Source organism: Homo sapiens, chromosome 17 (assembly GCF_000001405.40).
Source record: "Homo sapiens chromosome 17, GRCh38.p14 Primary Assembly".
Lineage (NCBI taxonomy): Eukaryota > Metazoa > Chordata > Mammalia > Primates > Hominidae > Homo > Homo sapiens.
In genome coordinates this window covers 22139083-22154944 of record NC_000017.11, presented here as the reverse complement: position 1 = coordinate 22154944, position 15862 = coordinate 22139083, and the positions used below count along the sequence as shown (strand labels likewise).

Sequence of the window (15862 nt, the reverse complement as noted above, 5' to 3'; positions counted from 1 at the left end):
TAATTTTACTTGTTCTAGATATTTTATACAAGTGTGTCAGAAAATATTTGCCCTTTTATGTCTGGCTTTCTTCATTTGGTATAATGTTTTCTAGGTTATACCTGTTATGGCAATACATCAGAACTTCATTCCATTTTCTGGCTGAATAATATTCTACTATATGTATACATCACCTTTTGTCCATTCATTCATTTGTTGATGAACACCTGGATTGTTTTCATCTTTTGGCTCTGTGAATAATGCCACAATAAGCAGTGACATACAGGTATGTGAAACTTTGTTTCCAGTTTTGGGGGGTATATAACAAAGTCTAAAATTGTTTGGGTTATGTGGTAATTCTATGTGTAGCTTTCTGAGAGACCATAAAACTCTTTTCAACAGTGACTGTACCATTTTACATTTCTGCCAGCAAGGTGCAATTGTTCTAATTCCTCCACATCCTTGCCAACACGCGTTATTTTCTTTTATTTTATTATAGCTATCCTAGTAGGTATAAAGTAGTATCTTATGGTTTAGATTTCCCTAAACACTAATAATATTGGACATGTTTGCATGTGCTTATTTGTATATCTTCTTTGTATAGATGTTTATCAAGTCCTTAGGTCATTTAATAAATTGGCTCATATGTTATTTTGTTGAGTTTTAGGAGTTCTTTATATCTTAGGTATTTAGTTTCCATAAGATATGTGTTTTACAGATATTTTATCCCAATCTGTAGCTTTACTTTTTCACTTTCTTGATCATATCCTTTAATAAATAAAATATTTTAATTTTGTAAAATCAAATATATATATTTGACTTTCAAATGTATATACATACTTCTACATTTGGATGCAATCTGTCCTGTTATACATTGCTTTTGTATTATACATTGCTGCTGTATTATGCATGCTCGTGTATTATCCATTGAGAAGAAGGTAAAATAGGAAATTTTATTTTATACATATTTAACCACAATAACAATTTAAAAAATAGAATTCCTTTTTTTTTTTTTTTTTTTGAGACGGAGTCTCACTCTGTCCCGCAGGCTGGGGTGCAGTGGTGCGATCTGATCTCGGCTCGCTGCAAGCTCTGCCTCCCGCGTTCACGCCATTCCCCTGCCTCAGCCTCCCAAGTAGCTGGGACTACAGGCGCCTGCCAGCAGGCCGGGCGAATTTTTTGTGTTTTTAGTAGAGACGGGGTTTCACCGTGTTAGCTAGGATGGTCTCCATCTCCTGACCTCGTGATCCGCCCGCCTCGGCCTCCCAAAGTGCTGGGATTACAGGCTTGAGCCACCGCGCCCGGCTAAAAAATAGAATTCTTAAAGAAATCCTAAATCTGTGTAATGTTCACAATAATTGATGCTTAATGAACAGGTACATGAGTCTCTTGAAAGTCAAATATACATATATATTTAATTATATATACATATATATATATATATAGTTATTCATGCTTTGGTGTCATATGTAAAAATCCATTGACAAATCTAAGGCCCAGAATATTTATGCCTATGTCTTGTCTTCTAAAAGGTTTTTGATGTTAACTCTTACATCTACATCATTGATTCATTTTGAGTTAATGTTTTATATGGTGTGAAGTAGGGGACCAGCTTCATTCTTCTCAATGTGGAAGTCCCGTTGGCCCAACACATTTTGATGAAGATGCTGCTTTTCTATTATAGACTTGTCACCCTTTTCAGAAATCGGCTGCTAATAGACACATAAATTTATTTCTGACTCAAATATTGAATTGATCTATACAACTATCCTTATACAAATCCCAAATGGTTTTTATTAGGGCTTCTTTGGAATAATTTTTAAAATTTAGAAATTGTGAGTCCTCTAAATTTGTTCTTTCTCAAAATTGTTTTGACCATTTGGATCCCCTTGCAATTTCACATAACTTAAGGATCAGCTTTCTGCATTTCTGCAAAAAAATAAAAGGCTGTTGCAATTTTGATATGGATTAGCTTGAATTTGTAGGTAACTGTATGTGGTACTGATGTCTTAAAATATTAAGTCTTCGACCCCATGAACATGGGCTGCCTTTCCATTTAAATAAGTGTTCAGTTTTTTTCATCAGTGCTTTATATTTTTCAGTGTATATTAAAATATTTGTTAATCTAACTTTCTTGGTTAAATTTGTTCTAAAGTATTTTAATATTTTGAATGATATTGTAAAGTGAATTACTATTTAAATTTCCTTTGCAAATTGTTCATTGCAAATGTGTAGAAATACATTCAATTTTTGTATGTTGATTTTGCACCTGGCAATTGGGCTGAATTTGTTTCTTAGTAACTTTCTTGTGGATTTTGAGAGATTTTTCTACATATAAGAACATGTCATATGTGAATAGATATATCTTTATCTTTTCCTTTTAAATTGGGGGACCTTTTATTTATTGTCCTTGCCCACTTGCTCTGTCTAGAACTTCCAATATAATGTTGAATAGCAATGATGAAAGTGGGCATCTTTGTCTTGTTTCTATCTTAGTGGGAGGCTTTCATTTTGACTTTGGGTACAATATACGGAGGGAAAAAAACAGGAAAAACTGTGCTTCTTAAAATCTCTTAAAACAAATTTGCTAAATATTTTATTACTGATTTATTTTTAAATGATGTTTTATATCCTAAAAATTCAGGAACCACCTATTAAAATATTTAAAATGTTAAAATATTAGAACAGTTGCCTAGGACCAAATTTACCCAACATCAAAAGCTTATAAAAGCTCTTTATTTTATAACTTTCAGGGGGATCTCATATATCTGAGTGGAAACACTTACATTAATTGTAACACAACGTTAGTTGTAAGTATTTTCAAGTGCTTAGCAATTTTTGCTGTTAGTAGATCTTAACAAATATTTCAAATTTTTTTGCTTTATTGCTGAGCGAATAATCATGTATAAAGTTATCCTCACTTCATTGTTAAAGATTAAATTATCTAGGCGTTTATAAAGCACATTAAGATTGCATGCAATGCACTAAATTAACAAATATTATTTTTAATAAATAAAAATAGCTAAAATGATGATGTAATAAGGATTTCTTAGAGAGTCAGTTGCTTTTATACAAACAATAATGAGCATAGCTGAATGTGCTGATTCTCTGAATCCATGATAAAAATAATAGATTTTTATCTTATCCGTGGATAACAATCCATGATTCTCTGAATTCACAATGAAAAAACATTTTATTAACCTTTAAACTACAAAATAAATAAGAAAAAAGTGAAAACGTTAGAGATTTCAGATAATTAAAATAATTGAAGGCTCAAATTCACCAAGCAGTCTTAGGCATTAAAAAAACAATGGCATGATGCTTTCAAGTAGATCAACAAAAGTAAACAAATAACATGGGGTTTGGGGATTCACTTGTGGTTGTAATGGATAAATTAAAATATCAAAGCTAGTTTCTTCTCATTCAGAGTTGCAAACATTAAAACAACCAAAACATTATAATAACCAATGTTAATTAAATATATCTGTCATTATATAAAACTTGTTTCTGTTTGAAAATATTGCTGAAAGTGCATGCGTTATTTGTCAACAATTTATTTCCCAAATTAGAATAGTTGTATTACATTCTGAATTTATATGCTTTATATGTATATATGCTTTATATGCTTTATATGCTTTACATGCAATAAGCAACTTTGGAATTTCACATAGAGGCAATTTTGAAAATTAAACCACAATTAGATTATTTACATTTAAAGCATATAAATTGTATATGCATATACAATATGTATATACATATAAAGTATATATATATGTATATACATATACAATTTATATGCTTTAAATGTAAATAATCTAATTGTGGTTTAATTTTCAAAATTGCCTCTATGTGAAATTCCAAAGTTGCTTATTTTCTCCTTCAGTAAAATGATGTAAAGTTATTAGTTCACTTAATATAATGAAAGTAAAGAGCATTGTTCACAAGTTGATTGTAGAAGAAAAACACATAGGCAGCTCTCCATGTCATTGGTCAATACCATATTTTCTTAGAAGATCAGAGTCTGGAAGTACAGATGTAAAGTTGATTTCAATACATCTTGTCTTAAAATCCAGGCTATCTTAGTCACCCACTGGAACTTTCCACCTGGGACATGTATATAAATGGATCAGAGTTCCGTTGGCTGATGTAATTTAATCAAATTCTGCACATTTGCAACTGGCTTTATACTAAGCTGTTTGATTTGTCCTTCTTGAATATATTATAGATTATATTATTATTATTATAGAATATATTATAGATTATATTATTAAATCTTTTTAACATCTTATCTAATGTCAACAAGTTTTATAAATAATTCTGTATCACTTTACTCATCGAATCTAAATGTTCCTCCCATTACAAACTTAAATAAAAATACTCCAGTGTGCAGCTTTACTAGAAACTTCATCAAGTATCTGACCTTCACAGATAAAAAGCTGCACTGGCAACAACATAGATTTTATTCCTTATAACAGATAGAAGATCCTTGAGAATAAAAATTTTATAAGAGAATAATTTAACATATCTCATATTATTACCATAACAAGGCAACCCCTTATTAAGGTTCAAAGAATGTCAAAGGAAGCGGGATTCTTTCATTTACATTATATTGCTTAATAATTCTACAAAATAAGAGAACATTGTATGGTCCCAGAGGTACAGTAAGAGATTTGAATATACACTTAGGCAAACCTTCTAGCTACAGGTAAATTTATTTAATTCTCATAAAATTACCAACGAAGAACTAATCCATTACATGACTCACTGAAATCTTTATAAATTAACATTTTTGGTATGTGAGTGTTATTTCATTTGCCAAAAAATATCCTTTACAATTAATGGCACTGTTTAATACGGTAATTTCAAAAATTGATTCTCACTTATTACAATTATATTAATAACACTCATGGTAATTCTATGATCATAATCATGGTAAAATACTAATTGAGAACTGTTAAGTTCTAGGCACTGTATTACATACTTTACAAATTTTCTCATATGATTCTTAAAAAAACTTAAGTGGTAACTATTATTATGAGCATGTTTTACGTATAATCACATAGGCTAAGGTTGTTAAGTATACTTTTTAAGGTAACAAAGCTACTAAGTGTTGGAACAGAGACTCAAACATCAGTCTGACCCAATAAATTGCATAAGAAATACAAGTGACAAGGAACTAATATCAATATGTTTTTCAAAATGCAAGCCACAATCTACTAATAGTTCATGAACTCAACTAAGGTTCATCATCAGTATTATTTAAAATAAAATTTAATAAGTTATAAATATTAGACCGTATCATAATAGTAACAATATAATTGATTCATGAATTTATTTTCAGATATATTCTATTGATGAATTAACACAAAACCAGAGTTAAACATTTTTACAATGCTGAGTTCTATTAACTCCATGAAAGAGCACATGCACCATTTAAAAAATTACCAAGTCATCTGCAGAAGGCAAAAAGTCAGTTTTTAAGTGCTAGAAAGTGAGAGTTCATGAACGCTGTGCTTATTAAGCATTAAAAATTAGTATCCTGGAGAGGACAGAAATCAAATGACCTGCATATAGTTGGATAAAATGAATTTTACTCTTCATTGATCAGGAAAAAGTCTTCACTTTGTGTCCAGTAAGGGTTTGTAATCTTGGGGATATGCAATAGTCATGGTCCTTTACAAGCTTTGATTGATTAATGACAGCAGTGATAAACACAATAATCATTTTTGATATTTCATAGGGAATTGCCACTATAGGCTGTATGTTCAAAGTAAGCAACAATTTTCTTATGGTCCTTTCCTTAATCTCTATTGTAGAGTAATGATACAAGGAACGATATATGGTCAGATATTTTTGGTCAATACTTAGATCTTGGGTTTCAATTTTTAGTGGATATGTTTTGTTTATCCATATAGCTTCAATTTCACTTTAATGCACTATCCATAAAATAGTTACTCTACTAAAACTGTTAATAATACCCTGATCACAGCAACAATTAATTATATTCTTTTATTTGTACAAGGCTGAATCATTAAAAAAAATCCTGTGGGCAGGTGTGTCATATTTTGGAAAATCAATTGGCTTCCTTATTAATTTTACATAGAGTCTTCTTAACCTACAATCAAGGATTTCAAAGGGTTAAATATTTAATCTACTTACAAGTTAACAAGTTAGCTTGCCACAATTTCATGGACAATGGGAGAAGATAAAATATTTCTAGGTGAGAGACAAAGGACATTATTACTGATAATGCTGCAAAAGCAGTAAAAGCATATGTACATTCCTGTCACTTTCCCTTGCCCCAGAGTCCAATGGGGAGATACATATGGGTTACTTTCCCTTGCCCCAGAGTCCGGTGGGAAGAAACACATGGGCTCAGGTAGAAGCCAGCACACACAGTGAGTTGTGTTCAGAGAGAAGCTGAGCTTTAGGGAATGTGGATCTCTTATAATGGGTAGGAAGCATATCTACCCTTCACTCTGGAAGGAGACATCCCTTCTATTTTCTAAGGCTCTTAATATGAGACAAACAGCAACATGCAACATACGTGAAAATTTTTCTCTCAACACTTACCTTGGAGCATTTATCCAAATAAAAACAGGAGACTAAATAGTATAGAAAATATTGTGATAAGTAAATTCTGTTTTGGAATTGTGAATAAAGTGATTCTGTTGTTCAGTACTCTTGCAAGAAAAAATGTGCAAGAAATTTTGTTGAACCTGTATCTCAGGGACAACATATGGCTTCCTTTGCTATGATTGCTTCTGTCATAGAGCTTCAATGCAGCATTCAAATATAGGAGTATCAAGGCCAATAAAGAAAACTTGTCAGGAATCAGTGGATACAAATATCTCTGATACAGCCTGAAAGTTTTATACTTCAACAGGCATGTACGTAGATCATGTGAAATACTACCATTATAGACTTACAAAAATTTCAACAGAGCATATAAACTCTTTTAAGATAGTAGACTTATTTATCTCCACAATCAATATTGTGATACAATATATCTCGGTGCATACATATGCAAGTCATAAAGAGCACAATCTATAGTTTTTGTAGTTATCTGAGGAAATTGAGAGTTGTTTTAACCAAATAATTTGAAATTCACAGCAGGACAAGTGTAACTAGTTCAAACAGTTCAAGGACGTTTTTTTCTTAATTAGTTGAGTGCAAACATGTTGTTAGTGATTTCCTGTGATATGGAACAACTGTCAATATTTTAAGCTATCTGGCTTTATAGAAAGAATATTATATTTTATAACTATGATATTCATGTCATATAAGAAATAAGGTAATAACAGTCATATGCTATAAAATGATGCTTATTTTAACTAAAGATTTTTTTAGCTAAAAAAATTGGTTGCTGGAAGGTTTGAGCCTGAAGAAGTAATTACCAATTTTGCTAATATTGGGCTGATGGGAAAATAAACTTCTCTGGATGAACCTTATGAAAACTGTAGTTGTAATAATTTTAGCAGAATATTACAATAATAGAAAAAGTATGACAAACTCAACAGCTTAACTTGTGTAGCAAATTATACCTGCGTTGAATCAAACAAATTATTTGTTTTTTTAAACACCTTTATTGAGGTGTAACTGATATACAAAAGCCTTCACATATTCAGTGTATACAATTTGATGAGTCTGAAAATACGCATACATCTGTGAAACCATCAGCACAATCAAAGTAATCTCTGAGAGGTAGCTGCTCTCCCATGTATACTACAGCATTATTTACAATGGTCAAAATATAGAAACAACCTAAATGTCCACTGACAAAAAAGAAGATAAAGAAGATGTGATATGTCACCGAACAATGGAATATTGTTCAGTATTTAAAAAGATGAAAATGTTATCTTTTGTGAAAACAAGGAGGAAAGTAGAGGACATTATGAAAAGTGAAATAAGCCAGTCAGAAAAAGACATATGTTGCATGATTCCGTCTACACAGGATATCTAAAATAGTCAAACTCATAGAAGCAGAGAGTAGAATGGTGGCTGCCAGGGAATGGGTGAATACGGAAATGGAGACTTGTTGCTCAATTGATATAAAGTTTTGGTTACCCAAGATGAAAAAGTTTTAGAGATCTGCTGTACAGTATTATATTTATAGTTAACAATATAACATTTAGCACTCCAAAGTTGAAGAGGATAGATTTCATTTTATGTGCTTTCACCACGCCCACACACTCACTCAGATGTGTGAGCATGCAGCATGCAAACACAAAAGACAGTAATTCATCAAAATGTATACATTAAAATGTCCAGTTATTTTTATATCAATTATATCTCAATAAAGCCTTAAAAAGAACAAGATAACATATTAGATACCAGAAATTGTAAGAAAAAAATGTCTTTTTTACAATATTTCTTTAGCCTTATCCAATTTGCAGCAAATTTGAAGTGACAATTATTTCATAAAAAATATTTAATTTTTTAAGATTTACTTTGATTAGTTATATTTATAGAAATTTAATACCTTTTTACAAATATAGAACAATTTTTAGTCACCGAATGACTTGCCTTTTTTATTCTCTCTTAACTAAGAGATAAGTAACCGAAGTGTTAACCTTTAATGCAGCTAAAGTTTCCTTTTTTTAAAAAGAAAAAAAAGATATTGTTCCCATAATAAAAGACACAACCAGGCAGTTATTCTTAGAAGAAGCCAGCTAGACATTTTAAGCATTAGTAATTAATTTTAAAAAATCCTTGTGAACTTTGTGCTATTTTAAAATTATTTATTTATAAGTTTCAGTAAACCAATTAGCATTAGAGTTACCATGAAATTTAAGAGACTTTGTAATCAGTTTCATTGTTTTTTTTCTACTTAGTTTTATGTGGACCTGGGCTAGATATTCCTGGACTATGCATATATAATGACAGACTTTAAAAGCAATTTAAAAGTCCGACTGTTGTCAAATTAAAAAGTCCCCACAGGAGAGTGAGGGTACAGGGTAATAACGGTTTGACACTGTAGTTCCTATATTAACCACATAACAGACCGAAACGTTATCTATGACAGCTACAAGACAGACTTAGGAAAGCACCAGAAAAGAGAGCAACCGATTCTCTTTTCCCAAGCAATCACCGAAAAATAAGAAACAAAATAAGACTGAAAGCTCAGTGACAGATGACTGATGGTCAAAACCATATTGGCCGGGCACGGTGGCTCAGGCCTGTAATCCCAGCACTTCGGGAGGCCGAGGCAGGCAGATCACAAGATCAGGAGATGGAGACCATCCTGGCCAACATGGTGAAACTCTGCCTCTACTAAAATACAAAAAATTAGCCAGGTGTGGTGGCGGGCGCCTGTAGTCCCAGCCACTCGGGAGGCTGAGGCAGGGGAATCCCTTGAACCTGGGAGGCGGAGGTTGCAGTGAGCTGAAATCGCGCCACTGCACTCCAGCCTGGCAACAGAGCAAGACTCTGACTCAAAAAAAAAATCATATATAAGTCATGAGCTGTGGTAACTCAGAGCTACAGCTCCTCAAACCGTCCCAGTAAATGTAATAAATTTAAGGGGGTCTCCAAGAACAATCAAATCTTAGTTAGTCACCACTGCAATTGTACCTGAAGACCAAAACAGAGGACCAAAAGGCACAGGTAAGAATGTTGTTTCCGGTCTTAAGGCTGGCAACACCAGCACCACTAAGTGAGGCCGACAAGGCAATTTTGGTGGATCTCCTAAAATGTCTGATAAAATAAGACCAGGGCTAAGTACTACTATGACTACGACTACGACTACGACTATGACTACGACTAATCATACTATTACCTGTAATAATAATTACAAAGCTGCTGAGTCTATTAACTTGCCAGGCAAGGGAACACTCAACAGTTAAGAAATTTACAAAGTCTCTGCAGCATACGATCAGGGTTCCCTAAGTGATTAAAAAAAAGGGAATTCATAATAGTTATGCTAATTAACAGCCGAAACTAGAACACCAAATTAAGTGAAATGAGTTTATACGTCTGCACTGTCCATTCATCAGGAAAGACTCCTTAGTTTGTTGTAATAAATAAATGTTCATTCAGGTCACTCAAATTCATGACATCTTATCAGCTTTAACTGGTTAGAGCCAGTTATCACGAAATGAAACAACCAGTTTTGCTATATTCTAGGGAAGTGTTATTGTAGATATGTTTATGTGTGAACTAGATTGGTATGTAAACTGCATTTCTTAGTATGAGTTTCTGCCAAAAAAATTGAGTACCACTAGTTTAGATGTTGGGCAAAATTAATTATTTGTCATATATATTTTGACTCTTCTCTAGATCCTAAATGCTCAGAAAGTTAGTTATTTTAAAATCACAGTTTTTTAAAGCTAAAATAAGAAACATGCTGATAGTCTTTATGAGGAATTTTTGGCTAAAATTAGGTTAGAATATATGCTATGTTTCCTTTCCTTTGCTGATCTGTTTGTAGTAGAGATATATAAGTAAATGAACTTCTCATAATTTTTTAAATGCACCAAATAAAGGAGAATGGACAAAAGCTATCAGTGCTGCACATTGTTAAAAGAAAAGATGTCCAAGGTGTTTATCAGCAAATTGAATTACAAATGCAAAGCCAAGCAAAAGTTTTACAATGCAAAGCTGAAATCAGGATTAGATCATTTTGAGGCATCTGGGTTCCTTTTTCATGGGTATATACATAAGCTTGATTAGACAGAAGTAAAATGGAAATCATGAATTCATAGGCAGGGGTACATATATTTAAAATAATGACATTGGTCTGCACGGAGTAGCTTAGCTAGCAGATTGTCACAGCAAGATATCTCATTAGGATATTTCCTTGAAGCTTGTTAGTGTAAACAAGGCAGAAATATCCAGGTGATAGTGGCTAGACACAGGTATTCATCTTCAAATTTAACTGTTCTTTGAAGAATTATATGGTCCACAGAAATCGTGATATACTGTGAATATCATTCACAATAAGTATTATCACAAACTTTAAATAAGCACAGTGTGCACCAGTTTACTTAAAACTGAAAGTTTATGAGACTAATTGTCTTCCCTTACATACAGATATTTGAATAAGCCATGTCCAAAGTATATTTTACTTCTGAAATTTATTTTTGCTTAAATTGGAGCTAATGTCTGATCTGGCTTTGCAGTTAAGAGATAGTCATTATCAATATCCAGTGTCATATTTAAACCCAGATTTTAAAATTCTTTATGGTTTTGACTATTTCAGCTGCTTTATATGTTTTGGAAATACAACAGAATTCAAAAACTCAGATTTTTTGGCTGCAAAATTGCATTTCCTAATATTAGGACTCATATATGTCATATGAAATCTAGAGAAAGTTTTTGCAACTCACGTCAATTTTTCAAGAATTTGAGTTTGTTTCATGCATTAATATGTTTGAAAATGTTTACATTTTAATGAATTAAAATCTCATGTTAAATAATATAGTTTACCTCTATTGATGTAAATCCTTTATCTCTTCCTTTATATACATTTTAGAGTTTACATGCTCTAAAAGTTACATGCTATTGTCTCTAGCAAACTCCAAGTGGGTTGTTCACTGTTCAAAGTCTTTTGAAATATATTTTTTCCTTCATAAAATATTTTATTAAGTAAAATATTTAGGTCAAACCCATGTTTATGCCTTCATAAAGTTATATTTGCAGAATGCATGATGATGAAAGAGCTACTTTTCCTTTTTTAGATTTTGAATAAAAGACTGTGCTTTGGGAAAGAAAATAAGGATGTAAAAGTGAGCAAGATTAGCTACGGTAGCTATAAATGAGTGTCCTTCAGTAATAGTCCAACTTCTAGTCTAAATATTAGTGAGATAAGAGCCCAGGCAGTGTTTCTATTCAATTAATCATGGCTACCTTTCTTATACAATTCTTATTTCATCATTAATTTTTAAAATATTCTTTTACTCCTTAATTTTAAGAATACAAATTATAAATCTTTTCTGAGTACAAATAACAACAGCATATATGCAAGCAATAATACTTAGTAAAATGGATAATATCAACCTGTCAGTAATTCAATAAATGCAGTATTACTTATACCATTGAAGTATTACTTATACCTTTATGCTCATCATAGAGGCAATACCCCTGCCGCCCTTTTAGAGTTGACCACTGAGCTAATTTGTGTGTTTCTACTGCTTTTCATTATAACGAAAATACACACCAATACACCCACACATGTTCTTATGTATGTTCTTATAATTTAATACATATTAATCTGTCAGCTGTAAATATTCTCGAAAAATGTTTGCTAGTTGTACCAGTAAATAATGCAAAAACATTTATCACAGTTTGATGTATTAGCTAATTTGAACTAATCATTATTTTCTGTCTCTCACTTATAATTTGTCATTATTTGCTATTGTATGTCTTACATTACAAACTCCAGGAAAGCACATATCTGTTTTGGCTATCTTGTTTTGTTGCGGGAATGAAGGACTGAAGAGACCACAGGGTGAGACAGGAGAATTTTATTGAGTGCAGTCAGGCCCAGCAGATTAACATCCAAAAACTGAGCCAAGAACAAAGACAAGTCTTGGCTTTTATACACACTTCAAAAAGCGGGTTGGCTAGTTTGAAGCAAGCTTACACTGGCATGAAGCGTAGTGGCGCAAAAGCCAAGTGCGCAGAACGAAGCAGAACAAAGACAGTTAATCAAATTGTGACAGGTGCATAACTCAGGATTACATATGACATCCTGCTATGCGGCTCAGATGGCTGTTACCTAGGTTTTACTTAAGTGCCTTGCACGGGCTTATCTCATAACATTCGCTATGGTGCCCAGGTGGCTGTAGTTCAGGCCTGCGCAGGCTTCTCATGACCTTCATTGTGCCGCCTAGATTAAACAGAATACTTGAAGGTACTAGTTACAGAGAACAGAAATCCATAAACTCGTAGGTTTACTCACATCATAAGAGAAGGGAAAATTTGTTTTTTCTTCTCCCTATGTTGAGGGAGTGCTGGGAGAGTCTCCAGAGCACATTTCTTTGAGCCCTGGTTTCATAGATAACATTATTGGAACTTTTGCCTGGGTCTGGGTTTTGCCTGTCACTGCCTTTGGGATTATCAGCGTAACACAGAAATCTTATTTCTTTCTCTTTTTAATTTTATTTTTCTTTCTTTCTCTAATTTCTGCCTCAGTTTAATGCTCAAATTCCCCAAATTAGCATATATCGTTAGGAAAGAAACAAAATGCTCACAACCCTTTTCTCTTTTTTCATTTACAGCAATATTTATGCAAAACATAAAGTTTATCTGCATCTAATTTTTCATATATGACTTCATTGAATCCACTCCCACCATTTTTTTGCTGCTACTACCCCAGAGAAACTGCTCTTGTCCTGGTCTCCAATTATCTTCATGTTTCTACCTTCAGATTTTCCTTCTACTTTATTTCTAATTCTACTCCTCTCTGTAACATCTTAAAAAGTGTCCCAAGTTTCAAACTCTTCTATTTATAGTCACTTTGGTGATGTTACTACATGTTTCTTTTTTTTTTATACTTTTGAGTAAAATCTGTACACTTAGAACTCCAAAATTTATAAATTCAGCTTTGCAATCTCCTTTGAGTTACAGACTCTCAGGCACAGGTGCCTATTCAATGTCACTTCTCAGATGCCTACTAGGCATACGAAATGCCAATATGATTCTTCTATTCACCCCTAAAATGTGTGCTTCTTATACTCTTTCTCATTTCAGTTAGTGACACATCCATTCTGTTACTTAGGCCAAACTCTTTGAGTCATCCATAGTGTTTAACATCTTCTCACATTACAATTTAATTCCTAATTCCTCAAAAAAAGTGGGTTCTTTCTAACAACGTATCTGAAATTTGACCAATTCTCTCTATCTCTGCACTGTTTTCATCATGATAAACTCTGTATTGTTCCTTTCCTGAATTATAGTGAGTTTCTCCTAATTGATTTTTTTTGTATCACACTTGACTCCAAGAACGTACTCTCAATTCAAGGGCTAAAGTGTATTTCAAATTATGTTACATCGTGTTACTACTATGTCCAACACTTCCTGATGACTTCCCAACTCATCCACAGTGAAATACAAAATCATCACAATGGCTTACCAGGCCTAAGAGATGCATTCTCACCACATCCTCATTATTTATCTAATCACATTTCTTGTTTCTCATTCATTCACAGACCTAATTCTTTGAAGCTAATAGTCAACTTGTGATTATTCTGTTGTGTTCTACCTATTGTGTTGCTGAATTAAAATGCTCTTCCTCACAATATGAAAATGGCTTATTCCCTCAACACATTCCATTTTTTAGTCAGCAGCATTTTTATGAAGGTATTTCCTTACCACCCTATTTAAAATTGAAGCCCTTAACACTCCTAATTATCTGTTCCTGTTTTTTGTTCCTCACAAAAAACATGACACCTACTTTTAAAATTTCAATTGTTTCTCTTTCAATGTGAAAATGTATGTACTATGAGGTTAGGGAAATATTGTGTATTTTGCCATCCCAAGCAAGACATGGTATTTAATAAGCATTTGTTGAATAAATAAACAAATATTTGTTGAACAAATAAATGACTGACTGATTTCACTGTTCCTAACCACTAGGTCCATCTCGATCAATGTGAAGATATGAAAAACATCAGAAAGGGAAGAATGTTGTCAAGTGTTGCCAGAGCACCGTAAAAGGCAAACACTACACCACATTCTGCCCCCACGTAGAATTAACACAAAATAATTTTGTAGAAAGGAGAGACACCTTAACTAACAAGGTTAAATTTGAAATTGGTGAAAAAAAGAAAAGCACATACATATATGATCTAGAGACAGAACCCACGTTTACAAGGGAGAATAAAAAGTTACATTTATTGTATGCCTGAATTTCATGGTTTCACTGTATCATATTGGCTGTATATGGGACTAATTTCTGATTACAAAAAAGTCTTATGCCATTTGCATAGAGATTTGAAAACACAAGGCTAAAACTAAAGGGTTATCATCATAAATGCATGTCTGTAAATGTTTTCTAGAATTGTGACCCCTTGGTGCTATTGCTGGGCAGAGAAGTTACTTTCAGAATTTATTGCCTTTTTTATGAAACATAGATTCTGGTAACACTAGCTCTAAATGTCTAGTTACTCTAGACTGTTCTAAATTTTATGTCAAGATAGGTTGCAAAAGGAGACAAAGGAATAGAATACCATTTTTGGAGGGTATTGATGAGCCTAAATTTGAGGCTCAATAGAACATCTATAAACAGAGGCACATTTCTAGTTACTAAAAGGCCAAATTTTGAATTAGATCTTTTTTTGAATTTGAACTTTTATCCCAAATGAGCAGTGTCAAAGGAAATATTTCACTAGACAAAGTTAAACAGCAGGGAATACTTTATCCAAGGGTATTGCAATTGTGGGGAGAGGCCAGCATTCAATCTGGGCTCTACTCTACATAAAGAACTGAAGCATTTTTAAGATGTAAGGTAAGAGGATCATAGGCCACATGTGTTTGCTAATTGGCTTTACTGAAAGGAAAAATGGACATTTTAATATTTTTATGACAGGAAGTAGTTTCACAACTTGGCTCAAGGCACCAGTACTAATGTAGGTTTTACCCTCCCATAGAAACTGGTAGATAGGGGTACTCAACTTGATGATTACATTTAAAGGGGATGGGGCTCAGGTCCTTGAGAAAATACCCCTGGGTTGTTAAACTGGTAAGAGGCTGCAAAAGTATTTACATCTCAAAGGGACAGACAAAGAATTTACAGTTTCAAGTGTTCTAAATCAAATGGTATACAAAAAGGAAGGTCAGTGGCCTAAAGCAGGAACAAGCCTGTTTAAAGTTTTGTGAAGCTGAGGGGAATAAATACGAACGTCCTCTTGGTCATGACTACTATGTACATCTGCATCAGCTC

The 15862-nt window shown here is 32.9% G+C and overlaps 1 pseudogene across 1 annotated transcript in view; it reads right to left on the bottom strand.

Annotated features, from left to right (window-relative positions):
- Positions 1-15862, bottom strand: part of UBBP4 (ubiquitin B pseudogene 4) — a 114402-nt pseudogene that overhangs the window by 50207 nt on the left and 48333 nt on the right. The window lies entirely within an intron of this gene.